Source organism: Homo sapiens, chromosome 17, assembly GCF_000001405.40.
Source record: "Homo sapiens chromosome 17, GRCh38.p14 Primary Assembly".
Lineage (NCBI taxonomy): Eukaryota > Metazoa > Chordata > Mammalia > Primates > Hominidae > Homo > Homo sapiens.
The window spans coordinates 37,339,852-37,366,039 of NC_000017.11; the positions used below are offsets into that span (position 1 = coordinate 37,339,852).

The 26,188-nt window shown below is 44.7% G+C and overlaps 1 protein-coding gene across 21 annotated transcripts in view, besides 1 other annotated feature; it reads right to left on the reverse strand.

Moving 5' to 3' along the window:
- The window catches only part of ACACA (acetyl-CoA carboxylase alpha), a 321,845-nt gene that overhangs the window by 254,860 nt on the left and 40,797 nt on the right, over positions 1–26,188 (reverse strand). For 6 of the 21 annotated variants that reach the window (XM_047435882.1, XM_047435883.1, XM_047435881.1 and 3 more), the window contains one exon: positions 25,592–25,899. The exons of 4 other annotated variants lie outside the window; for them this stretch is intronic. The gene's annotated coding sequence lies outside the window, so the exon portion shown is untranslated. Of the gene's footprint in view, positions 1–5,401; positions 5,532–19,142; positions 19,246–25,591; positions 25,900–26,188 lie in introns of those variants that run through there. 11 more of the 21 variants (XM_047435892.1, XM_005257267.6, XM_047435891.1 and 8 more) reach the window with 3 other exon arrangements.
- Positions 15,475–15,974: an enhancer, noted in NCBI's record as "H3K4me1 hESC enhancer chr17:35712269-35712768 (GRCh37/hg19 assembly coordinates)". NCBI's record gives its function as "activates a minimal SCP1, AML or CMV promoter by ChIP-STARR-seq in primed H9 embryonic stem cells {active_cell/tissue: H9 hESC(primed)}" and the evidence as "EXISTENCE:reporter gene assay evidence [ECO:0000049][PMID:30033119]".

Consider the following 26,188-nt stretch of genomic DNA (forward strand, 5'->3'; position numbering starts at 1 on the left):
TAGAGAGAAAGAGAAAGATTTTAAGGTTTTTTTTTTTAAGAAACAAACTTTTGTCAATTCCTGTTTTGCTCAGCATAATACAAAGGTAATAATATATGAAGTATCTATTTTACTGGTCAAATCTATTATTTAACTTAAAGCACAAAGTTTAGCAGTTTATTATTTGTTCAATTCTGTAAATCAAACACATTACATAAAGACTATTGTTTAAGAAAATATTAAACAATAGAACAAGCTTACCATTTCACAAGGTGGCTTTTCCAATTGTATACTCGATGAATACATTTCAAAATTTTCATTTCTAATATTTCATCAAAAAAGAGGCAGTGGGGAGAAGAGAACCACTAGATTCTCTACAATTCACTTAAGCTCTGATTATGTTTACAAGCGGTTACACCTACACACAAAGATTGGGAGCCAGGTGGAAGACAGAGTGCCCATTATACTAAGTCCCTAAACTGTAAGGGATCAAACAGTCTCTAGCAACTCCCCAAATCCTCGGTTTCCTTCTTAAGCCTGACAATTTAAATCTATCTAGGGTAGAAATTCTCAACTCTGATTATGTTTAAGAATCACCTGCGGAGCTTTTAAAAATTTTACAAAGTCTAAACTCCACCCTAGATCTGCTGAATCAGAATTGCAGCTGGAGACCCAGGGATATCAACTTTAAGTTCCACAGTTAATTGACACTGATGGAAATACACGCTTGAGAACCACTCGTTAAGGGCAGAGAAGAAACAAAAGGAAAGAACCTATTACACTGGTAGGGAAATCTAAAACTTCCGAGAGGACCCCTAAATGACAAGGGACAACATTTAGGAATATTAGGATTTATCCAGTTATGCAGTCTGAGCTAGTATTATTCCCTACAACTGAGAAGAGGAAGGAAAAAGTTTGGATCATGTAACCAAAGATGCAGTGAAAGTGGAGTTAAAACCTAGGACCAATCAAGCTCAAACTCTGACTGTCAAATATTGCAAGTGACTGCAGACTTGAAGGTCACTTAACGTCTCTGTATATCATACAGACAAGCCTCCTCATCTGTAAAAATAAAAAAGAAAGTCTTCTGGGCAGTAGTGTGCACCTACAGTCCCAGCTACTTGGGAGGCTGAGGCAGAGGTGTGCTAGAGTCCAGGAGCTGGAGGCTGCAATGTGCTATGACCACACCTGTGAAAAGCCAATGCACTCCAGCCTGGGCAACATAGCAAGACCCCCATCTCAAAAATAAATAAATTAACGAATTTAATTAAGTTTAAAGAAGGTCATATGTACCTCATGGGACTGCTGTGAAAACTAAGAATATATGAAAGGATTTTGTAAACTATAATGCAATAGGCCAGTGTTTTTCAAATTATGGGTTACCACCCAGCAAAACATTAAGAAATCAATTTAGCAAGTTATAACCAATATTTTGAAAATGAAATAAGATAGAAAATGTTAAGATATACCATAGTTTATGACAGTATCCATAGTTTTGTAAATTTTTGTTTCAGTTATATATAGGTCATGATGTAAATGACATTTTATTATGAGGTATGTCAAAAAAAGTCTTAAAGCGGCCAGATGTGGTGGCTCACACCTGTAATCCCAGCACTTTGGGAGGCCAAGATGGGCAGATCACCTGAGATCAGGAGTCAAAACCAGCTGGGCCAACATGGTGAAACCTCGTCTTTACTAAACATACAAAAATTAGCCAGGTGTGGTGGTGTGTGCCTGTAATCCCAGCTACTCAGGAGGCTGAGGCAGGAGAATCGCTTGAACCCGAGAGGTGGAGGTTGCAGTGAGCCAAGATCACCCCACTGCACTGTAGCCTGGGCAGCAGAGCAAGACTCTGTCTCAAAAAAAAAAAAAAAAGCCTTAAAGCCACAACTAATCCTTACTCCCTCACCCCCTCCACTTTATAACCTCACTAGACAGCAAAGACAGCCAGTTAAGTACATAAACCAACGATTCTTAAAAGTGTCTCAACTGTTGGAAATTTGATGAAAGCTATGGACCTTTTCTTGACAAAAATGTACCCTCATACAAAATTTTCATTCCATACAGGTTTGGGATTCCTAAACTCCTGCCCTGAATTAGGTTAAGACCTCTTTCTCCAGAAAGAGGACTAAAAAAGAAGCTGACCTTTGGGGAAGGCTCATATAATTGCTGTCTTAGTTCTGAAACAAGGCCTTTTTCCAGATCCAGTCTGCCTACTCAAATAAAAATTATTTTCTTCATTATATAAAATTGTTGACAATGCCAAATTCTCTTTTATTTAAAAAATATATCATGTGGCCAGGCGCAGTGGCTCACACCTGTAATCCCAGCACTTTGGGAGATGAAGACGGGCAGATCACTTAAGGTTCGGAGTTCGAGAACAGCTGGCCAACATGGTGAAACCCCGCCTCTACTAAAACTACAAAAATTAGCCAGGCATGGTGGCAGACACCTGTAATCCCAGCTACTGGGGAGGCTGAGGAAGGAGAATAGCTTGAACCCAGGAAGCGGACGTTGCAGTGAGCCAAGAATGCACCACTGCGCTCCAGGCTGTGGACAAAGTAAGACTGTCTCTCAAAAAAAAAAAAAAAAAAAAAAAAAAAAAAATATATATATATATATATATATACACACACACACACATATATTTTTAAATATATATGTATTTTAAATACATATATATATCCTATATATACACTATACATATAATGTATTATTCAGCTTTTATTTGGAGACTCTTGAAAATTTTTGCGGAAGGCTCCCAAACTGTGCCTTATGTTCCTGAAAATGTGGTAAAGCTAATTACAGCTAATGTATTTAAGAGTCAGCCTGGGCCAGGAGTGGTGGCTCATGCCTGTAATCTCAGCCATTTGGGAGGCTGAGGCGGGAGAATCCCTTGAGTCCAGGAGTTCAAGGCCAGCCTGGGCAATATGACGAAACCCCATCTCTACCAAAAAAAAAAAAGCTGGATGTGGTAGCACATGCCCATGGTCCCAGCTACTTGGGAGGCTGAAGTGGGAGGATCACTTGAGCCCAGAAGGTTGAGGCTGAAGTGCCACTGTACTCCAGCCTGGCCAACAGAATGAGATTTTGTCTCAAAAACAAAAACAAAAACAAAAAAAGTCAGCCTGCATTTCATTCAGAAATTTTTTTTTTCTTTTTATTGAGACGGAGTCTCAATCTGTCACCCAGGCTGGAGTGCAGTGGCACGATCTCAGCTCAATGCAACCTCTGCCTCCCGAGTTCAAGCTATTCTCCTGCCTCAGCCTTCCGAGTAGCTGGGATTACAGATGCATGCCACCACACCTGGCTGATTTTTGTATTTTTAGTAGAGACGGCGTTTCACCATGTTGGCCAGGCTGGTCTCAAACTCCTGATATCAGGTGATCCACCTGCCTCAGCCTCCCAAAGTGCTGGGATTACAGGCGTGAGCCACTGTGGCCGGCCCAGAGATATTTTTCTAAATAAATACAACAGATTTTACCAAATTTAGTTAGCATATTCTCCTTGAACTCAAATTACACTGTATTTTCCATGCAATTCTAATAAAGAGGCAGCAATTAGTTTTCATAGCCACTGATAAAAGTATCCAAGCTTTTACAACATGTCCTTGCCTCTCAAGTCATAGTAAGTTCACTTAAATGTTTTCAAAGAGGCCGGGTGCAGTGGCTCATGCCTGTAATCCCAGCACTTTGGGAGGCCAAGGCAGGTGGATCACGAGGTCAGGAGTTCAAGACCAGCCTGGTCAAGATGGTGAAACCCCATCTCTACTAAAAATGTAAAAATTAGCCAGGCCTGGTGGCGGGTGCCTGTAATCCCAGCTACTTGGGAGGCTGAGGCAGAGAACTGCTTGAACCTAGAAGGCAGAGGTTGCAGTGAGCCAAGATTGTACCATTGTACTCCAGCCTGGGTGACAGAGTGAGACTCTGTCTCAAAAAAAAAAAAAAAAAAAGTTTTCAAAGACAATAAGTGAATTTGCCTTGTTCACTTTGTCATTTATTTTTTAATGGATTTTGGTTATTAATTCAGTGATTCATAAAAGGATTACAGAAAATTTTATTTTAAAAACTATTTTAATTTACCACAAGTTTTAAATTTTAAAATAACAAGAACTTGTGTTCCAAATAGTGAAACAGATGCTGATTATTCAAAGATAAATAAGATTTGTCCCTAGCTAAGTGGCTATTGACACCTAAATATACAATTACAGTAGTATAATAATCTCTGAAAACACAAAAAATATAAACAAAAAAATAAAAAGATAAAAAATAAAAAAGAAATTTAAAAATTTTTTTAAAAAGAAAAAAAAACCTCTAGGCCAGGTGTGGTGGTTCACACCTGTAATCCCAGCATTCTGGGAGGCTGAGGCAAGAGGATGGCTTGAGCCCAGGAGTTTGAGACCAGCCTGGACACCATGGCGAAAACTGTCTGAAGACAGTGGGTTGGGCCGGGCATGGCAGCTCACACCTGTAATCACAGCACTTTGGGAGGATGAGACAGGCTGATTGCTTGAGGTCAGGAGTTCGAGACCAGCCTGGCCAACATGGTGAAACCCAGTCTCTACTAAAAACACAAAAATTAGCGGGGCGTGGTGGTGTGCACCTATAATCCCAGCTACCTGGGAGGCTGAGGCAGGAGAATCGCTTGAACCCAGGAGGCAGAGGCTGCAATGAGCTGAGATCATGCCATTGCATTCCAGCCTGGGTGACAGAGCGAGACTCCTTCTCAAAAAAATAAATAAAAATAAATAAATAAATAAACTAAAAAGGCATAACCCACAAAAAGACCAAAAAAGAAATTAAAAAGTCTGGGTAGACAACAAGACAATTTTCTTGGAAAGCAGACAGAAGAGCAATAAATGACTAGGCAAGCCCAAGAAAACTGAATCATAGCCCAACTGTGGTAAACTTACGATCAACACAATTTATGTCATACGTTCCCCAAAATGTTCAGAAAGTGGAGGTGAAAGAGAGCTAAAGAAAATAAGGAGGATTGGTTGAAATTGTTTCCGAAGCTTCAGATCATTACATTTTCTCCCCAACTAGTGAAGTCAGGTGCCTGCTGCTCTACCATCCTGAGACTTTAGGTTTATTCTCTAGAGAGGGTTAAACAGAGGGTTTCTAGATTGGGGGATACCAGCAACAGTAAGGGGCAGGGTACAATACTGAAAATAAATAAATTAAGTCAATATATTGAGTAAGATTTTCCGGTCCTCTTTCCCTAATCGTCACCTTCCCGGAGAGAGATTAGAGGATCCTTCTTGCCCAGGCTGGAGTCCAGTGGCATGATCTCGGCTCACCACAACCTCTGCCTCCCAGGTTCAAGAGATTCTTCTGCCTCAGCCTCCCGAGTAGCTGGGACTACAGGCCCGCACCACCATTCCCGGCTGATTTTTGTATTTTTAGCAGAGACGGGGTCTCACCATATTGGCCAGGCTGGCCTCGAACTCCTGACCTCGTGATCCACCTGCCTCGGCCTCCCAAAGTGCTGGGATTATAGGTGTGAGCCACCGTGCCCAGCCTAGAGGATCCTTCTTCGGAGAATCTGACCAGCTCAAGGAGAGAAAAATAACTAAAGTTACTAACATCAACGTCCCTAATTGAGTTGCCCAACCAGATTACACTGTAGTAAGCTAACCACCTCTAATCAGCTTTCAACACTTCCTCTTAAATATAAACAGACAATAAAGATTACCAGATGTCTGAGAAAAACTTCAACATGAAAGACTAAAAACAAATAACTACCTGTAGATTAAAAAAATGCAACTTGAAGAAAAGAGATTACAGGGAACAAGAAACCATTAAAAACTACAGGGGTCGAGGGGAGGGGAAAGCAACTTCACCTCTGCGGTATTTTCCCAAAAAACCCATAACCCTAGTTTAATCATGAGAAAATATCAGACAAATTTGAATTGAGGGACATTCTATAAAATACTTGATGAGTACTATTCAAAATCATCAAGCCATTACAAAAATGGAAAGACTAAGAAACTATCACAGATCAGGGGAGATTAATGAGACATGACCACTAAATACAATGTGGTATCCTACATTAAATACTGGAATAGAAAAACACATCACTAAAAAAGAAAAGCTACAGAAGGCCAGCATGGTGGCTCATGCCTGTAATCTCAACACTTTGGGAAGCTTAGGCAGGAGGATCACTTGAGGTTAGGAGTTTCACATTACAATGAGCTATAATGGAGCCCCTGCACTCTGGCCTGGGCGACAGAGAGGGACCCTATCTCTAGAGGAAAAAAAACCCAGGAAATACAGTTTTATAGTTTAGTTACTATTGTACCAATGTTAATTTCATAGTTTTGACTAAAGTATTATGGTTAGCCGGGCATGGAGGCATGCACCTGTAATCTCAGCTACTTGGGAGGCTGAGGCAGGAGAATCACTTGAACCCAGGAGGCGGAGGTTGCAGTGAGCCGAGATCATGCCACTGCACTCCAGCCTGACCAACAGAGCAAGACTCTCTCTCAAAAAAAAAAAAAAAAGTATTATGGCTATGTAAGATATTAACAATTGCCTACTTGAGGGTAGCAGATGGGAGGAGGGAAACGATAAGAAAAAATATCTATTGAGACCAGGTGTGGTGGCTCACTCCTGTAATCCCAGCACTTTGGGAGGCCAAGGCAGGTAAATCACGAGGTCAGGAGATCGAGACCATCCTGGCTAACACGGTGAAACCCAGTCTCTACTAAAAATACAAAAAAATTAGCCGGGCGTGGTGGCGGGCGCCTGTAGTCTCAGCTACTCAGGAGGCTGAGGCAGGAGAATGGCGTGAACCTGAAAGGTGGAGCTTGCAGTGAGCCGAGATCACACCACTGCACTCCAGCCTAGGCGACAGAGCAAGACTCCATCTCAAAAAAAAAAAAAAAAAAAAAAGATTTGATTGCCCTGCTAGATTATGGAATTGCATGGAGCCTGTAGCCCCTTTGTTTTGGACAATTTCTCCCATTTGGAATGGCTACATTTACCCAATGCCTGTATTTCCATTGTATCTAGGAAGTAAATAACTTGCTTTTGATTTTACAGGCTCATAGGCAGAAGGGACTTGCCTTGTCTCAGATGAGACTCTGGACTGTGGACTTCTGAGTTAATGCTGAAATGAGTTAAGACTTTGAGGGACTGTTGGGAAGGCATGACTGGTTTTGAAATGTGAGAACATGAGATCTGGGAAGGGCCAGCGGCTGAATGATATGGTCTGGCTGTGTCCCCACCCAAACCTCCTCTTTAATTTCCACGTGTTGTGGGAGGGACCTGGTGGGAGGTAATCGAATCCTGGGGGTGGGTCTTTCCCATGCTGTTCTCGTGTTAGTGAATAAGTCTCACGAGTTCTGATGGTTTTAAAAACAGGAGTTTCCCTGCACAAGCTCTCTCTCTGCCTGCTTCCATCCATGTAAAACATGACGTGCTCCTCCTTGCCTTCCGCCATGATTGTGAGGTCTCCCTGGCCATATAGCACAGTAAGTGCATTAAACCTCTTTCTTTTGTAAATTGTCCAGTCTCGAGTATGTCTTTATCAGCAGTGTGAAAACAGACTAATACAAGGGCTCAAGTGATCCTCCTACCTCAGCCTCCTGAGTAGCTGGGACTACGCACACACTACCACACCCAGCTAGCTTTTTTGTGATTTTTGTGGAGACGGGGTTTTGTTATGTTGCCCAGGCTGATCTCAACCTCCTGCTCAAGCGATCCTCCAGCCTCAACTTCCCAAAATGTTAGGACTGCAGGTGTGAGTCACAACAGCTGGTCTGAAATATTTTTAAAATAACTATTTTAGGCCAGGTGCGGCGGCTCGCACCTGTAATCCCAACACTTTGGAAGGCTGAGGCAGGAGGGTCGCTTGAGTCCAGGAGTTCCAGACCAGCCTGAGCAACAAAGCATAACGCCATCCCTACTTACGTAAAAAAAAAAAAAAGAAAGAAAGAAAAAAAATTTTTTAACAAGAAAGAATTTTTAAAAGCTAAAAATATGATCACAGCAATGAAACAACTCAGAAGATAAGGTTAAAGAAAAGCTTTCACAAATCAGAATAAAAAGTCAAAGAGGGCCAGGTGCGGTGGCTCATGCCTGTAATCCTAGCACTTTGGGAGGGCAAGGTGGGAGGATCACCTGAGGTCAGGAGTTCAAGACCAGCCTTGGCCAACAGGGTGAAACCCCAACTATACTAAAAATGCAAAAATTAGCCAGGTGTGGTGCTACACGCCTGTAATCCCAGCTACTTGGGAGGCTGAGGCAGCAGAACTGCTTGAACCCGGGAGGCAGAGGTTGCAGTACCCAACCTGGGTGACTGAGTGAGACTCTGTCTCTCAAAAAAAAAAAAAAAATTTAAAGTGATGAACAACAGGAGAGAAAAAGAAGATGAGAGAACCTGTTCAGAAGGTCCATATCTAAGTAACAGAAGCTCCCAAAAGCAAGAACAAAACAAAGGGCAAAAATTTTAATCTGATAATCATGCCAGATTGCCATGGTCATTGCCAGATTAAAAAGGCCCAACAAGTGCCTACCATAATGAATAAAAAGAGACACCAAGGCACATCACTGAAATTTCAGAAACTGAACACAAGAAAAGATCCTACAAGCTTCCTGAGAGAAAAAAGTTCACATACAAATGATCAAGAATTTGAATGCCTTTCAGACTTATCAGAAATAACAACAGAAGCTTGAAGGTTATTAAACAATGCCTTCAAAATTCTGAAGGAAAATTATTTTCAATCTAGAATTTTAGACACAATAGGTTGCTGATCAATTGTGAGGACAGGACATATTTTCAGACAGCAAAATCTCAAAATAATTACCTCCGATAATGATGCAATTAGAAAACATAATTCATTTTACAAACACCAATGCTATACGGGCGCGGTAATTCCAGCACTTTGGGAGGCAGAGACGGGCGGATCACGAGATCAGGAGATTGAGACCACGGTGAAACCCCGTCTCTACTAAAAATACAAAAAATTAGCCGGGGGTGGTGGTGGGCGCCTGTAGGCCCAGATACTCAGGAGGCTGAGGCAGGAGAATGGCGTGAACCCAGGAGGCAGAGCTTACAGTGAGCCGAGATCGCGCCACTGCACTCCAGCCTGGGCGACAGAGTGAGACTCCGTCTCAAAAAAAAAAAAAAAACACCAATGCAATAACTGATGTTGGCAAATATCGTAAATATATGTTAAAACTATTGGATAAAGGGTTTTCAGAAAACAACATATTCTTTATTATTTATTATTATTATTATTTTTTGAGATGGAGTCTCGCTCTGTTGCCCAGATGTGAGTGCAGTGGCGTGATCGCCGCTCACTGCAACCTCCACCTCCCAGACTCAAGCAATTATCGTGCCTCAGCCTCCCAAGTAACTGGGATTACAGGCGTGTGCCCCAACACATGGCTAATTTTTATATTTTTAGTAGAGATGAGGTTTTGCCACATTGGCCAGGCTGGTCTCAAACTCCTGTCCTCAAGCAATCCATCTGCCTCAGCCTCCCAGAGCACTGGGATTACAGGCATGAGCCACCATGCTCAGTGAAAACAACATATTCTTACATATATATATATATATAAAACATATATATAATATATATTATATATACATATATCTTACATATAGATAAGATATATCTTACATATATATTTTACATATATACGTATATAAGATATATCTTACATATATATATCTTACATATGTGTGTGTGTGTGCGCGCGTGTGTGTGTGTATATATATATAGCTTTTTTTTTTTTTGAGACAGAGTCTCGCTCTGTTGCCCAGGCTGGAGTGCAATGGCCAGATCTCAGCTCACTGCAACCTCCGCCTCCCAGGTTCAAACAATTCTTCTGCCTCAGCATCCCAAGTAGCTGGGATTACAGGTACCCACCACTTCACCCAGCTAGTTTTTTTGTATTTTCAATAGAGACAGGATTGCACCACGTTGGCCAGGCTGGTCTCGAACTTCTGACCTCAAGTGATCCGCCTGCCTCAGCCTCCCAAAGTGCTGGGATTACAGGCATGAGCCACTGCACCTGGCCATATTCTTACATATTAATTACAAAAGGGAAAAGTATCTTTACAATGGAGAAATCTGATGGATACCATCTTAACTAAGTATTCAAACTAAATATCACCAATATTAGGAAAAACTGACATCCTTGTATGATGTGTGTGTGGTTTACTCTGTGTGTGCATCACTGGATGTGATGCAATAGAAGTATACAACAGGCTAGGCACAGTGGCTCACACCTGTAATCCCAACACTTTCGGAGGCTGAGGCATTACGACTGCTCAGGAGTTCAAGACCAGGCTGGGCAACAAAGTGAGACTCCGTCTCTATAAAAAATAAAAAAATTAAAAATTTGCTAGGCATAATGGCACGTGCCTATGGTCCCAGCTACACAGAAGGCTGATATGGGCGGACTGCTTGATTCCAGGAGGTCGAGGCTGCAGTGAGCCATAATTGCACCACTGTACTCCAGCCTGGGCAACATAGTGAACCCGTCTCAAAAAAAGAAAAAAAAAACCAAAAAAAAAAACCCAGAAAAAATTAGCTGGGTGTGGTGGCACATGCCTGTAGTCCCAGCTACTTGGGACCCTTAGGTGGGAAGATCACCTAAGCCCAGGAGGTTGAGGCTGCAGTGAGCCGTGACTGTATCACTGCATTCCAGCATGGGCAAAAGAGCGAGACCCTGTCTCGAAAACAAAACAATGAACAAACAAAAAAATGTGTTTCGGGCTGGGCGTGGTGGTTCGCACCTGTAATCCTAGCACTTTGGGAGGCCGAGGCAGGTAGATCACCTGAGATTGGGAGTTTGAGAACAGCCTGACCAACATGGAGAAACCCTGTCTCTACTAAAAATACAAAATTATCCGGGCATGGTGGCGCATGCCTGTAATCCCAGCTACTCGGGAGGCTGAGGCAGGAGAATCGCTTGAACCTGGGAGGCGGAGGTTGTGGTGAGCCAAGATCAGGCCATTGTACTCCAACGTACATGGCCCCCTTTTGTGCTTTTAAAATGTTGAACCAGGCCAGGTGCAGTGGCCCACGCCTGTAATCCCAACACTCTGGGAGGCCGAGGTGGGCAGATCACCTGAGGTCGGGAGTTCCGGACCAGCGTGGCCAACATGGTAAAACCCTGTCTCTATTAAAAATACAAAAATTAGAGGGGCGTGGTGGAGCGTGGCGCATGCCCATAATCCCAGCTACTCGGGAACCTGAGGCAGGAGAATTGCTTGAACCTGGGAGGTGGAGATTGCAGTGCGCTGAGATCGCACCGCTGCACTCCAGCCTGGGCAACAAAGCAAGATTGTCTCAAAAATAAAATAAAATAAAATATAAAATAAAATGTTGAAACAGGCTGGGTGCGGTGGCTCACGCCTGTAATCCCAGCACTTTGGGAGGCCAAGACCGGAGGATCACCTGATGTCAGGGGTTCAAGACCAGCCTGGCCAATATGGTAAAACCCCATCTCTACTAAAAATACAAAAAATTAGCTGGGCATGGTGGCACACGCCTGTAATTCCAGCTACATGGGAGGCTGAGGCACGAGAATTGCTTGAACCCAGGAGGCAGAGGTTGCAGTGAGTCAAGATCCTGCCACTGCACTCTAGCCTGGGGTGACAAAGAGTGAGACTCTGTCTCAAAAAATAAATAAACAAATAAAATAAAATGTTGAACCACATGAATGTATTGCCAACTGAAGATTTTAAGTAAGTTTAATAAAAAGCTTTCCTCAATTAATTCCATGCTACTCTGATCCCTTATCTCATATCTGTCAGAGGATTTAGCCAGACAACTGAAATGTTATTCACTTATTTCTTTAATATGTGTTACTATGTAATTGACTCTGGGTTATCTCCTAGATGAGGCTGGGAAAAGTTATCCTCTCTTCCAAAAACAACAAAAAGGAGAGAAATGGAGGTCTTGCTATGTTAACGAGGCTGGTCTTGTACTGCTGGCCTCAAGCAATCCTCCCATCTTGGCCTCCCAAAGTGCTAGGATTACAGATGTGAGCCACCGTGCCCAGCCTCTTCTAATTGTTTTAGATCCACCACCCTCAATGCCTCACAATGCTGTGTAAACACCAGGCTTTCACAGGCTGCATTTTTTTTTTTTTTTTTTTTTGAGACAGAGTCTTGCTCTGTCACCCAGGCTGGAGTGCAGCGGCGCAATCTCGGCTCACTGCAAGCTCCGCCTCCCGGGTTCATGCCATTCTCCTGCCTCAGCCTCCCGAGTAGCTGGGACTACAGGCGCCTGCCACCACATTCGTCTTTTTAGTAGAGACAAGGCTTCACCATGTTACCCAGGATGGTCTCGATCTCCTGACCTTGTGATCTGCCCACCTCAGCCTCCCAAAGTGCTGGGATTACAGGGGTGAGCCACCGTTCCTGGCCAGGCTTCATGTTTTATCAGAATTGCAACGAATATTTGAGTTACAAAACTAGGAGACATAAACTAAGTCGTTATTTCAAACATTATCCTCTAGAAACATTTAAAGGCCTCCAGGTAAAATGCCATTTTGTGAATTCAGAAAGTTCTAGGATGAATTAATTTACGCTCGTAATCTTATTTCATAGAGCTGCATTTAGAGAAAACCAGAGTCTCAAGGAAAAGAACTGGCTCATGGCTGTATAATCTCAACACTTTGGGAGCCCGAGGCAGGAAGATCGCTTGAGCCCAGGAGTTTGAGACCAGCCTGGGCAACATGACGCAACCCCATCTCTACCAAAATTAAGAAAAAAAAAAATAGCCAGGTATGGTGGTGTGTGTCTGTAGTCCCCGCTACTTGGGAGGCTGAGGTGAGTGGATCACTTGAGCCTGACAGGTTGAGGCTGCAGTGAGGCTACAGTGAGCCATGACTGTGCCAGCACACTCCAGTGAGGGTGACAGAGTGAGACCTTATCAAAAAAAAAAAAGAAAAGAAATTTCTTCCTTAAGGAAATACTGCTTATTTTTTTTGCCTTCAAGTCCTACGGATGTGTTAAGGCATTATACTTTATATTACCTAACAGAGATCTATGCTGGAGACATTTACAGGTTAAAGCAAAAATTCCTAATTCCTTTGTAGCTACAACATCCTATGCAGTTTTAGGGAGGCAGTTTTAAGTTGAAAATTATGAAGAACTCCCAAAAATCAGTTGCCCCGTGATGCCTTAAGCCAGATGTGCCTATCGTTGGAAACTTTCAAACGTACATCAGATAAAATATTCTCTCATATTAAGTGGAAAACTGGAAAAGAAAATCCCTTAGGTACTTTCCAGTACTAAATGTTCTATTAAGTTATTGAATTTTGAGATAGAATCAAAGTAAAATTAAACAGCTTGCCTTGCCAGGGCCAGGAATACCACTAAATGCTAAAGCATAAAACAGGACCCAGCAATTCATTTTCTTGCTGCTAATCTACTGATATTACTCCTAATAAACTTAAAAACTAATCAAGCTCCTATCAACCTACTATTCCAAATCTTGGCATGTGTGTAAAATATATACACAACTAAGAACAGATTTGAAAAATGCTTATAAAAAAAGAAGATAGGCTGGGCACGGTGGCTCACAACTGTAATCCTAGCACTTTGGGAGGCCAAGGCTGGCGGATCACTTGAGGTCAGGAGTTCAAGACCAGCCTGACCAACACGGTGAAGCCCTGTCTACTAAAAATACAAAAATTAGCCGAGCATGGTGGTGTGCGCCTATAATCCCAGCTAATCAGGAGGCTGAGGCAGGAGAATCACTTGAACCCAGGAGAAGGAGGTTGCAGTGAGCTGAGATCACGTCACTGTACTCCAGCCTAGGCGACAGAGCAAGACTCCGTCTAAAAAAAAAAAAAAAAAAAAAAAAAAAAGATAATTTTACAGGAACTTCATTAAGAGTATTATACTCTATTTCTATCAAAGGGGATAACCAAATATTCATAAATGAGGCCTTATATTTCTTGAGAAAGACTCCCCAAAACTGAGTCTGTTTTTTTAAACTTCATGAGTTCATTCGGAATTTTCCAACTTTGCTGGGCATGGTGGCTCATACTTGTAATCCCAAAACTCTGGGAGGCCAAGGCAGGAGGATTGCTTGAGCCTAGGAGTTCGAAACCAGCCTGAGCATTACACTGAGACCTCATCTCTACAGAAAATTAAAAAATTAGCTAGGCATGGTGACATGTGCCTGCGATCCCAGCTACTCAGGAGGCTGAAGTGGGAGGATCGCTTGACTCCAGGAGGTCAAGGTTGTAGTGAGCCATGTTTGCACCACTGCACTCCAGCCGGGATGACAGAGAGAGACCCTGTCTCAAAATAAAGAAAATAATTTATACAATTTTATTCTATCTGAAATAACCACTCCATAAATAGTACTGCCATGCAATTTCCAGTCCTGATGTCATGGAATGGTAAACATTATTGTGGTTCCTTATATAAAACAGCATGAGTATGGCATGCTAAAAGGATGGAATGAGTCTAAGTCTCAACATCATCGAAAGGCAAGACCAACTGGGGCCACCAACCTTTAGGCAGGGCACTGAATAGCCCTTGCTGAAGCCACTTTTCACTTGCCTCCTTAAACATCCTAAGACTAGACAGCCCAATGGTAACTTGAAAAAGTAACAAATTAGTAAGAGAACTGCATCATTAGAGAACACTTAAATGAGATTGGCCAGCTAAACTCATAAGAATTAATGCCATATCAATCAGATTTATACAGTGTAAGTGCAACATCCTTATGACACTATTTGTCATAGTTTCTTACCTGTTTAATATCACCTTCAAATAGTCCATTAGATTCAAGCGAATACAGTACTCATTACAGTTTTTTAAAATTAAAGAAACAGGCTGAGTGCAATGGCTCACACCTATAATCCCAACACTTTGGGAGGCTGAAGTCGGAGGATCACTTGAAGCCAGGGGTTCGAGACCAGTCTAGGCAGTAAAGCGAGACCCCCACTCCACCCCACAAAAAAAATTTAAAATTAGCTGGGCGCAGTGGTGTACACCTGCAGTCCCAGCTACTCCAGAAGGTAAGGTGGAGGACTGCTTGAGCCCAGGTTGAGGCTGCAATGAGCAATGATCACGTCACTGCACTCCATCCGGCCTGGGTGACACAGCGAGAGAATCTCTAAAAAAATAATAAATCAAAAACACTTAAAAATAAAGGCCAGGCACAGTGGCTCATGCCTGTAATCCCAGCACTTTGGGAGGCCAAGGCAGGCAGATTACCTGACGTCAGTTAGAGAACAACCTGGCCAATATGGTGAAACCCCATCTCTATTAATATACAAAAATTAGCCAGGCATGGTGGCATGCGCCTGTAATCCCACCTACTTGGGAGGCTGAGGCAGGAGAATTGCTTGAACCCGGGTGGCGGTGGTTGCAGTGAGCCGAGATCACACCACTGCACTCCAGCCTGGGTGACAAAGTGAGACTCCATCTCCAAAAAAATAAATAAATACATAAAAAATAAAGTGGCCAGGCGCAGTGGCTCACACCTGTAATCCCAGCACTTTGGGAGGCCGAAGTGGGTGGATCACAAGGTCAGGAGTTCAAGACCAGGCTGGCCAACACAGTGAATCCCCGTCTCTACTAAAAATACAAAAATCAGCCAGGTGTGGTGGCAGGCGCCTGTAATCCGAGCTACACGGGAGGCTGAGGCAGGAGAATCGCTTGCACATGGGAGGTGGAGGTCACAGGGAGCCAAGATCACACCATTGCACTCCAGCCTGGGTGACAGAGTGAGACTCTGTCTCAAAAAAATAAAATAAAATAGCCAAGCACGGTGGCTCACGCCCATAATCCCAGCAATTTGGGAGGCTGAGGTGGGCAGATTATCCGAGGTCGGGAGTTCGAGACCAGCCTGACCAACATGGAGAAACCCCATCTCTACTAAAAATACAAAAAAATTAGCCAGGCGTGGTGGCACATGCCTGTAATCCCAGCTACTCGAGGGGCTGAGGCAGGAGAATCGCTTGAACCCGGGAGGCGGAGGTTGCGGTGAACCGAGATTGTATCATTGCACTCCAGCCTGGGCAACAAGAGTGAAACTCTGTCTCAAATAAATAAATAAATAAATAAAATGGAGGCCAGATGCGGTGGCTCACGCCTGTAATCCCAACACTTTGGGAAGATGAGGAGGGCGGACCACCTGAGGTCAGGAGTTTATGACCAGCCTGGCCGACATGACGAAACCCCATCTCTACTAAAAATACAAAAAATTAGCCGGGCATGGTGGCGCACACCTTGTAGTCTCAGCTACTCAGGGGGGTGAGGCAGGATTGCTAGAACCTGAGAGGTGGAGGTTGCAGTGAGCCGAGATCGTGCCACTGCACTCCAGCCTGGGCAAAAGAGCGAGACTCCGACTCCAAAAAATAATAAAATAAAATTAAATTGAAACAAGCAAAAAACCAGTTAATAATCTGTTAATAATCTGTTAAAGTAGAAGATTAATGGTAATTATCTCAATAGTTAATAGGAATTTTTTAGCCAATGAGTTTCTACTGTTTATTCGCTTTTTTGTAATCTTACTGTTTTACGGGTTTGGAAAGATACTTGACACATAGCTCCTATAATTATTATTATTATTATTTTTTTGAGACGGAGTCTCACTCTGTCACCCAGGCTGGAGTACAGTGGCGCAATCTCAGCTCACTGCAAGCTCTGCCTCCCAGGTTCATGCCATTCTCCTGCCTCAGCCTTCCGAGTAGCTGGGACTGCAGGTGCCTACCACCACACCCAGCTAATTTTTTGTATTTTTAGTAGAGACGGGGTTTCACTGTGTTAGCCAGGATGGTGTCGATCTCCAGACCTTGTGATTCGCCAGCCTCGACCTCTCAAAGTGCTAGGATTACAGGAGTGAGCCACCGCGCCCGGCAGCTTCTATAATTGTTAATCTTTAAGAACATGTTAGATAATGAGATAACTTTTTTTTCTGAATTACAAAAGGATTCTCTTCTCCTCCCACAATTGAAAATACTAATTTCTAATGCATTATTCCACAGTTTGTATTTTAATTTACTTCTTTCCTCAACTAAGACTATTAGGATATTAGCCATCCAATTAAAGGAAAAAAAGATTTTAAAGAAAGAAAAACACTAGCCCTAAACCTGTTAAACCAGTCCACGTGACAGGTATAAAAATTTTCCTAGTCATTGACTGCAAAGGAAATAATGTTACATAGTGATCTACACCTGAACCTGTTCACAGCACTTTAGAGAGGTCAACATCAGATGAGAGAGCGTTCTCTGAGGCTGGCTTTCACAATACCAGGTCTTCAGCATTACCTAGTTTTTGAACTATAAATTCACTAAGATAAATGCCACCATTTCCCAAGACTTCCTTTTTAAAAAGCAATTTAATCTTATGCTTGATGTATTTCTATTATGCACTGGTAAATCAAAACAAAACAAGCCTGGCGTGGTGGCTCATGCCTATAATCCCAGCACTTTGGGAGGCCGAGGAGGGTGGATCACCTGAGGTCAGGAGTTGGAGACCAGCCTGGCCAACATGGTGAAACCCTGTCTCTACCGAAAATACAAAAATTAGCCAGGCGTAGTGGCGCACGCGTGTAATCCCAGCTACTCGGGAGGCTGAGGCATGAGAATCTCTTGAAACCAGGAGACGAAGGTTGCAGTGAGCCAAGATCGCACCATTGCACTCCAGTCTGGGTGACAGAGCAAGACTCCATCTCAAACAAACAAACAAAACAACAACAACAAAATTCTACAACACTAGTAAACACAGATGGCTTCATAAATTAATACTTTACCTTTGGCATCTTTCATATGCCCACTTTAAAATGTTTAATATTCTTGGGTTCACATCAGTCCTCCTGTTATGCATTCAGTTTTACTGAGAAATGAAGAAACTGAGGCAAGAGAAGTGGGAAAAAACTTGCTATTTGTAGCAAGCAGGCATCTATCTGGACAGGTAAACTGTGGTCCTGCTCTATTAGGCCACAATGCTTTTCTGAAAAGTGCCTGTCAAATAAGCACCACAGAAATCCTTCTCATCACAGACATCCAGGGCATCCCCCTCAAGAAGGGACAAATATGAGTATTCTTCCCTGCTGAGTGAGAAAAGACCATGTAACCAAAGAAAGCATGCTTCTCAATCTATACTACCGAATTGGGAGGGAAAAAATGAATGGAAAGAGAGAGAAAATCCAAGGAAATAAACTTCTGAGACTGAAGATGTGGTTATTAGGTTTATCCACACATTAGGAAATTACTGAAACATCGCTTAAGTAGAAACAGAATCAGGAAGGCCTAGGGTCTTTTTTTTTATTCCAGTCTTAAACCTCCAAACAAAAATATCTGAAATTAAACTATTTCTCCTGAGCAGTTATATTCTTAAATGTCTCTATAGAACCCACAAGGCCTACACGAAGTCCCTGATTTTTAGAGGTGATTTCAAGTGTCCATTAGTGTCCACTCTCCCACTCTCAAATCCAAAATAATGTTGGCCCCGATCCGGGCAGGACCTTCACGCACATTTTCCTGTGAAATCATTAGCTTCACATCAGCTTCCTACGTCCTATTTCCAGTAACTTCCCTTGATCAGCATGGCAAACGAGGAGAGTAACAAAAGGCATGTACATTTACTATGTCCCTCGCAGAGAACATAATAAAATCCTGGGAACAGGAACTGGCAGATACAACCTGCCTGGCCCTGGCTCTCGCCACGATACAAAGGCACGGAGAGAGCAAGTGAGGTCTGCACCCCACACCTCACTCTGCAAGAGAGAAAGGACTTTCAATGCAATCAGACCCAACCCGCAACGCCCCCTTCCCACGTGGTCTTCTCCCTCTCCCGAGCCCAGAATCGGATTGGAGAGGGGTCTGGAAGGAATCAGACCACGCTGGAGCTGGGCAAGAGGGGTGGCGGGCGAGCTCCAGGCAGAAACTCCAGCCCCCCTTCCTAGAGGAGCCCTGAACTGTACGCCTCCCAGTTCCGGGATCTGAATCCCCACCTCCCGAGACCCCAGACCTCTCCATGTCTCTAGGGAGGGGACCTCAAGGCCTCAGAGCTGCGGGAAGGGCTGGGCTGCCCCGCACCCGATCTGGATAGTGTGGAGCCCAGGCCGCGTGCGGGTGAGCGGAGGCTGGGAGGCGGCCCCCTGCCTGCCGCCGCCCCTCCCTTGGCCCCAGTTTCTCCAGGTCCCCGGTCACAGGTTCTGGGCCGGCCCTCACCTCACCTCAGGGTGGCAACGTGTGCGGTCGGGCGATTCCGGAGCCCCTGCGTGGAGGAACTGCTGGGCGGGAGGAGACGCCGGCGGCTCGGGCGATGGCTGACAGGCGTGCAGCACCAGGCCGGCCCGGCACACGGAGAAGGGGCGGGGCTTCAGGGGCCTGACCCGCCCCCGCCCCGCCCCTGTCTCCCACCTCAGCCGGCGAGCTCCATGAGGTGACTACGTCCGGGGTTACTCCAGGCCGTTCACCTCCGACCCCGCTCCGGGCTGCGGCGCTGCCAGGGCCGCCGGGGGGCGAGGCGCGGGCCCGAGGGCTCAGCGGCAGCCAATGGGAGGGCGGCGCGGGGCGGAGCGATGTGAGGCGATGCCGATGGTCCGAGCGCGGATCTGCCATTCGGGGCCCAGCGGCTAGAGGGCGGGCGGGCCGCGGGCGGGCCGCGGGCGGGCCCTGGGCAGTCGTGGCGCCCCTGGCCCGGCCTTCGCGGCCCCTTCTGCCACAGCCGGGTACGGGGCCAACCCCTCGGCTCCTCCTCCTGGCGGAGAGGGGAGTGGGGGAAGCGGTCCCGCATGCGCCTCGCATCAGGGACAGAGGCGTCCCAAGTGAGGGGCCAGGACTAGCCGGCCTGTAGAGGCGGGGAAAGGGAACCCAGAATTAAGGCGGGCTAGAATGGGGCAGGCGGTGTGCGGGCCCGTTTGTCTGTTTAATCCTAACACATTAACAAGGGGTGGGCAATCGCGTCCACTACCTGTCCTCATCACGCTGGCTGGTTTCCAAGTCTGGGCGAGCTAAGTAACCCCATGCTGGAACTCCATAACCAGCCCCCCGTTTCGCTCCTCAGCCCCGAGACAGCCCACTCCAAAGGTGTTATACATGCTGGATCCTGGCGTGTTGAGGAGAAGCCTCAGTAAACGAAGCTCAGTAAGAAGGGGAATGTACCAAAGAACCACCGTCTTCTGCCTGCCCTGAGCAAAATAGTTGCCACAGCGTTCCAGACTTTTCGGATTGGAGAATGCTTCCCGTCCTCCACTGTGGGCACGCCGAGCCTTTGAGAGGAAGCCAGTCGGTGTCTCTAGTTTTGCCAGTTACTTCATAGCAAGACTTTCATGGTAGCTGTGTGTTGAAAATTAATAATAACTGGAAGGGGTCCCAACACAATACAAACATTGCGTAGGGAAGAAACTTGGAGAAAATTGCACTTGAGAAGAACAGGGTGAACTCAGCCCTTCCAAGGAGGAATTTAATGAAGCATGCAGCGCACCTTCTTAATGCTTACAAACTTGTGAGGAAGGCCAGGAGAGGTGCAGAGGATGACAGTTTGGTAGGAAGAAGTTCCACGCCAGAGAGTAAAAAGTGAATAGGATAGAAATACATGCCCAGGTAAGAAGTTCTTGGCGGAAGCTGAGGCAGAAAGAGGGAAAGATTGGTCAACAAGGAACAATATTTATCTAGGAGCCCTCATAATCCCACTAAGTGGGGCTTCCCTAAGAATTTATCAACCCATTTTTAAAATAATAGGGTCAAGCACAGTGGCACGTACCTGGACTGTAGTCCCACCTACTCAGAAGGCTGAGGTGGGTGGATGGCTTGAGGCGAGGAGTTCAAGTCTATATGTAGTGTACTGTGCCTGCGCCTGTGAATAGCCACTGCACCCCAGCACTGGCAACGTAAAAAGACCCCATCTCTAAATAAATAAGTTAATTAAATAACAGGGATTGGAAGCAGAGAACTTAGGAAAGATGTGGACTTTACAGAACAGGGATTCATATTTCACAATAATTATATCACTAATATATCAATCAGTTGGACAAATGTAGTGGGAGGAAAAAGATAATTGGGCAAGACTTCCTGGTTTAGTAAGATGTTTGATTTGACTCACCGAAAAAAATGGCCTGGGAAGAGGGAAGCCTTGCCTTTCCATAACAGCAGTCTCTGAAGCTGACATGAAGGGAGTGACTTCAAAAGAACTAAAAACCATGCGGTTGCCTCTTACTTTTCTTTTACCTTTCCTAGATCCTCTTAAGTAATAGGAATTCTTTCCCCAGGATTCTTTTTTTTTTTTTTTTGAGATGGAGTCTCGCTCTGTCGCCCAGGCTGGAGTGCCGTGGTGCAATCTCAGCTCACTGCAACCTCCACCTCCCAGGTTCAAGCCATTCTCCTGCCTCAGCCTCCCGAATAGCTGGGACTCCAGGCACAAACCACCAAGTCCAGCTAATTTTTGTATTTTTAGTAGAGACGGGGTTTCACCATGTTGGCCAGGATGGTCTCGATCTCTTGACCTCGTGATCCGCCCACCTTAGCCTCCCAAAGTGCTGGCCGCAAATGTGAGCCACCACGCCAAGTCTCCCCAGGATTCTTAATGGTGTTGCTGTTTACCAGCTTTACAAGCTCTGCAAAACCAGGGATTTACCCTCAAAAACTGTCCTTATGTGAAATTTCAGCCAGCCCCTGCATGTCCTGCTTTTGACTTCACTGATTATTTTAAATAATTGAGCTTTCTAAAGAACTGGCCAAAGAAAGTCCTAATAGAAGCTACAGTGAAAAAAAAAGTAATTAAGGAAGGATGAGTTACGATACCAAGGTCACTTACAGAGGATCTAATAATCTAATTGTTATCACCAAATGCTAAGACAGCTGGGCAGAGAATGAGCAAAGAGCTGTGTCTTTAAGACAGTACAACTGGAATTTCAGCAACCCCTGAGTGTTACGGTGTTTGGTGCATGCCACAACCTGCCCATCCCTACTGTAGGTTCTTTAGAGCTGCTCCATGAGTTATTGCTACACAAGCTATTACGTCTGTAAGAGGCGGAGGAGGAGAACCAAAGGGTGGAGAGAACTTACTATATGAGACTAACAAATGGAAGAGAAGGATGAGTGGTACATTTCTAGAAGCTGATACTAGAGGTCTGTTATGGGCTGAATTGTATCCCAAAATTCATTTGTTGAAGTCCTAACCCCTAATACCTCAGAATGTGAGTATATTTGGAGACAAAGTCTTTATAGAGGTAATTAAATTAAAATGAGGTCATAAGGGTGGGCCCTAATCCAGTATGACTGTCGTCCTTATAAGACGAGGCGACGAGGACACAGACACACATATGAAGACATAGGGCATGCATGGCCATGTACAAACCAAGGAGAAAATATCAGAAAAAAACTAACTGCTGACACCTTAATCTTGGACTTCTAGCCTTCAGAACTGAGGAAATGCATTTCTGTTGTTTAAGCCACCAGTTTGTGGTACTTTGCTATAACAGCCCTAGAAAACGAATACAAAATCCCAAATATATGACTTCCAGGGTTTTCAAGGTGATGTAAAGGTATTAGGGACTCATCCTGAGCATCCCAGCTACCTTCCAACCTTAAAGTTGCTTTCTTATCTTCCTGTGGGTAAAGTCAGAAAAGTATGAGAGGTCCCTGTCTTCAAGGTGATTATAGTCTATTTAAGAAGACAAAACTAGCACATTAAAACAGAGTGTCTGTGTCACACTCTTTAGATGATAGCCATATGAATTTGTAATAGCCATAGATGAGAAAAGATAAATTCTCAAAAATTGATAAACCCAGATATATATAAACATTATATGCGCCACTGTCCAGACAGCTTCATTTGGCATTTTTCGGTCAAATATTTAGATTAGGGCATCGTTTCTCAAAGCATGTCCCACTAACCACCTGATGAAACAAACACTAGGGTGCGCCAGGCGCGGTGGCTCACGCCTGTAATCCCAGCACTTTGGGAGGCCGAGGCGAGGCGGGTGGATCACGAGGTCAGGATATCGAGACCATCCTGGCTAATGTGGTGAAACCCCGTCTCTACTAAAAACGCAAAAAATTAGCCAGATGTGGTGGCGGGCGCCTGTAGTCCCCGCTACTCCGGAGGCTGAGGCAGGAAAATGGCGCGAACCCGGGAGGCGGAGCTTGCAGTAAGCTGAGATCGCGCCACTGCACTCCAGCCTGGCGACAGAGCGAGACTCCGTCTCAAAAAAAAAAAAAAAAACAAAACCACCAGGGTGCTTGTTAAAAATGCAGATTCCCAGCCCTTTTTTTTTTTTTTAATCACAACTACTCACTGCAGCCTCAACTCCTGGGCTCAAGCGATCCTGCCACCTCAGCCTCTCAAGTAGCTGGGACTACAGGGACATGCCACCACACCTGGTTGACTTTTTCTTTTCTCTTTCTCTTTTTCTTTTTTTTTTTTTTTTTTTTTTTGAGACGGTCTCGCTCTGTCACCCAGGCTGGAGTGCAGTGGCACGATCTCGGCTCACTGCAACCTCCACCTCCCGGGTTCAAGCGATTCTTCTGCCTCAGCCTCTCAAGTAGCTGGGATTACTGGCGCGTGCCACCATGCCCAGCTAATTTTTGTATTTTTAGGAGAGACGCGGCTTCACCATGTTGGTCAGGCTGGTCTTAAACTCCTGACCTTGTGATCCACCCGCCTTGGCCTCCCAAAGTGCTGGGATTACAGGCGTGAGCCACTGGACCTGGCCGACTTTTTCTTTTTTTAAAGCATCCCTAATAATTAATCACCCTAAAGTTTGAGAACAGTCGTTTAAGATTTATCATTATTGTTCCCCTCTTTGTGTGCCAGAGTCTCTGTTGAACAACAAGGCCTTCAATACCTGTCACTCTTAGGACAAGAAAGTCTCTCAAGTCAGGTTTGAGTTGAATCAAGGGAGGAAACAAAGTGCCTTAATAGAAAATAGAACCATGGGCTGGGTATGGTGGCTCACGCCTGTAATCCCAGCACTTTGGGAACACAAGGCGGGTGGATCACCCGAGGTCAGGAGTTCTAGACCAGCCTGGCCAACATAGTGAAACCCTGTCTCTAATAAAAATACAAAATTTGCGGCAGGGCACGGTGGCTCATGCCTGTAAACCCAGCACTTCGGGAGGACGAGGCGGGTGGATCACCTGAGATCAGGAGTTCAAGACTAGCCTGGCCAATATGGTGAAACCCTGTCTGTACTAAAAATACAAAAAATTAGCTGGGCATGGTGGCAGGCGCCTGTAATCCCAGCTACTCAGGAGGTGAGGCAGGAGAATTGTTTGAACCCAGGAGGCAGAGGTTGCAGTGAGCCGAGATCGTGCCACTGCACTCTAGCCTGGGTGACAGAGTGAGACTCTGTCAAAAAAATAAAAATAAAAAATAAAAAAATTGCTGGGTATGGTGGCACGTGCCTGTAGTCTCAGCTACTTGGGAGACTGAGGCAGCAGAATCACTTGAACCCAGGAGACAGAGGTTGCAGTGAGCCGAGATTGCACCACTGTACTCCAGCCTGAGCAACAAAGCAAGACTCCATCTCAAAAAAAAGAAAAGAGTCCAGCCATGGTGGCTCATGCCTGTAATCCCAAAACTTTGGGAGGCCAAGACGGGCGGATCACCTGAGGTCAGGAGTTCGAGACCAGGCTGGCCAACGTGGCAAAATCCCATGTCTAGTAAAAGTACAAAAATCAGCCTGGCATGGTGGCGGGCACCTATAATCCCAGCTACTTACGAGGCTGAGGCAGGAGAATCGCTTGAACCCGAGAGGCAGAGGTTGTAGTGAGCCAACAGGCCACTGCACTCCAGCCTGGGAGACAGAGAGAGACTCCGTCTCAAAAAAAAAAAAAAAGAAAAAGAAAAGAAAATAGAACCATGAAGAGCCCCCCCTGTCCTGGGGCTGTCTGACCATGAATCCAAATTCGTAGATAACAAGGTCAGTGATCAATTTTTAGGACAGAGAATAGAGGAATTATTGGGATATTATTTCCTGCTGACCACCAATAGTCATACTTTAATCTGGCTTCTGGCACTTGCCATGCTTATTCTTATCCTTATACCTTTGTTTATGGTGGCAGACTTGTCCAACTTTTCTCCTGTTTTTCTGAATCTTTCTAGTCCTTGGAAGTCCCATTTTCTCCAAGATTTCTCTTACTTCTCCAGCTTTCACTGATCTCTCTCTCCTTTGAATTCTTGTAGCAATATGGTCATACCACACAGTTCAGAATTTTTTTTCTGAGACAGAGTCTCGCTCTGTCTCCCAGGCTGTAGTTCAGTAGCGTGCTGTCAGATCACTGCAACCTCCGCCTCCCGGGTTCAAGTGATTCTCCTGCCTCAGCCTCCCGAGTAGCTGGAATCACATGCCCAGCCAATTTTTGTATTTCCGGCAGAGACAGAGTCTCACTATATTGGCCAGGCTGGTCTCAAACACCTGACCTCAAATGATCCTCCCACCTCTGCCTCCCAAAATGCTGGGATTACAGGTGTGAGCCACCATGCCTGGCCCACAGTTCAGAATTTAATTAGGATATATTTTTTTGTCTGCATACTGGTTTTAGCTCTCCAGTTAAATCCTGAAGGCAGAGACCATCTCTTATAGTTTGCTACCCCCTTTTATAGCTCTTCAAGTAGGACTAGGTATTTCTATTAGTAAGCGCTTCATTGACTGAAATAAAGATTAGCTCTGTACCTGAGAGGCCACTCTGCTCCTGATGCCTGCTTATCCGTCTTCACGTTGTCTCTGAGAGGCAAAGCCTCCAGTGGGATATATAGCTGCTTTACAGATGGACAGAATTCATCAAGAAAGTCAGTGCCTTGCCCACAACTGTGGCTCCAGTTGTGATATAAAAGAAAAATAAGACACAAAGTCCTTATCTGAATACTATGTCTCTTTGCTCTTGTTAATCACTCCAGTTTATCCAGAATTAAGAGCCTGAAGGAACTTCATACCATAAGGTCAGAAAATCTCCTCAGGAAGGCCACTTCATAAGTCTGGTCCTAATGATGAAAGGTAGAATTGCACAATGAAGGACAGCATGAGTAGTAGAGACTCCCCACGATGTTTTCACATGGACACAGGGTTTTCACATGGCATTTCTGCTCTCACTCCTTCCTTATCCAATGGCAAACACTTCCAGTCTCTATACTTCAGCCAGTTACCAAATCTTAACTTCTTCCTCCATGACACCTCCAATATATATGTTTTTAAGATCCCTTTCTAAGTCCTACACACCTCACAACTAAAATACCTGGAGAAATTTTAAAGGGCTCTTTAAAAACAGGAAAA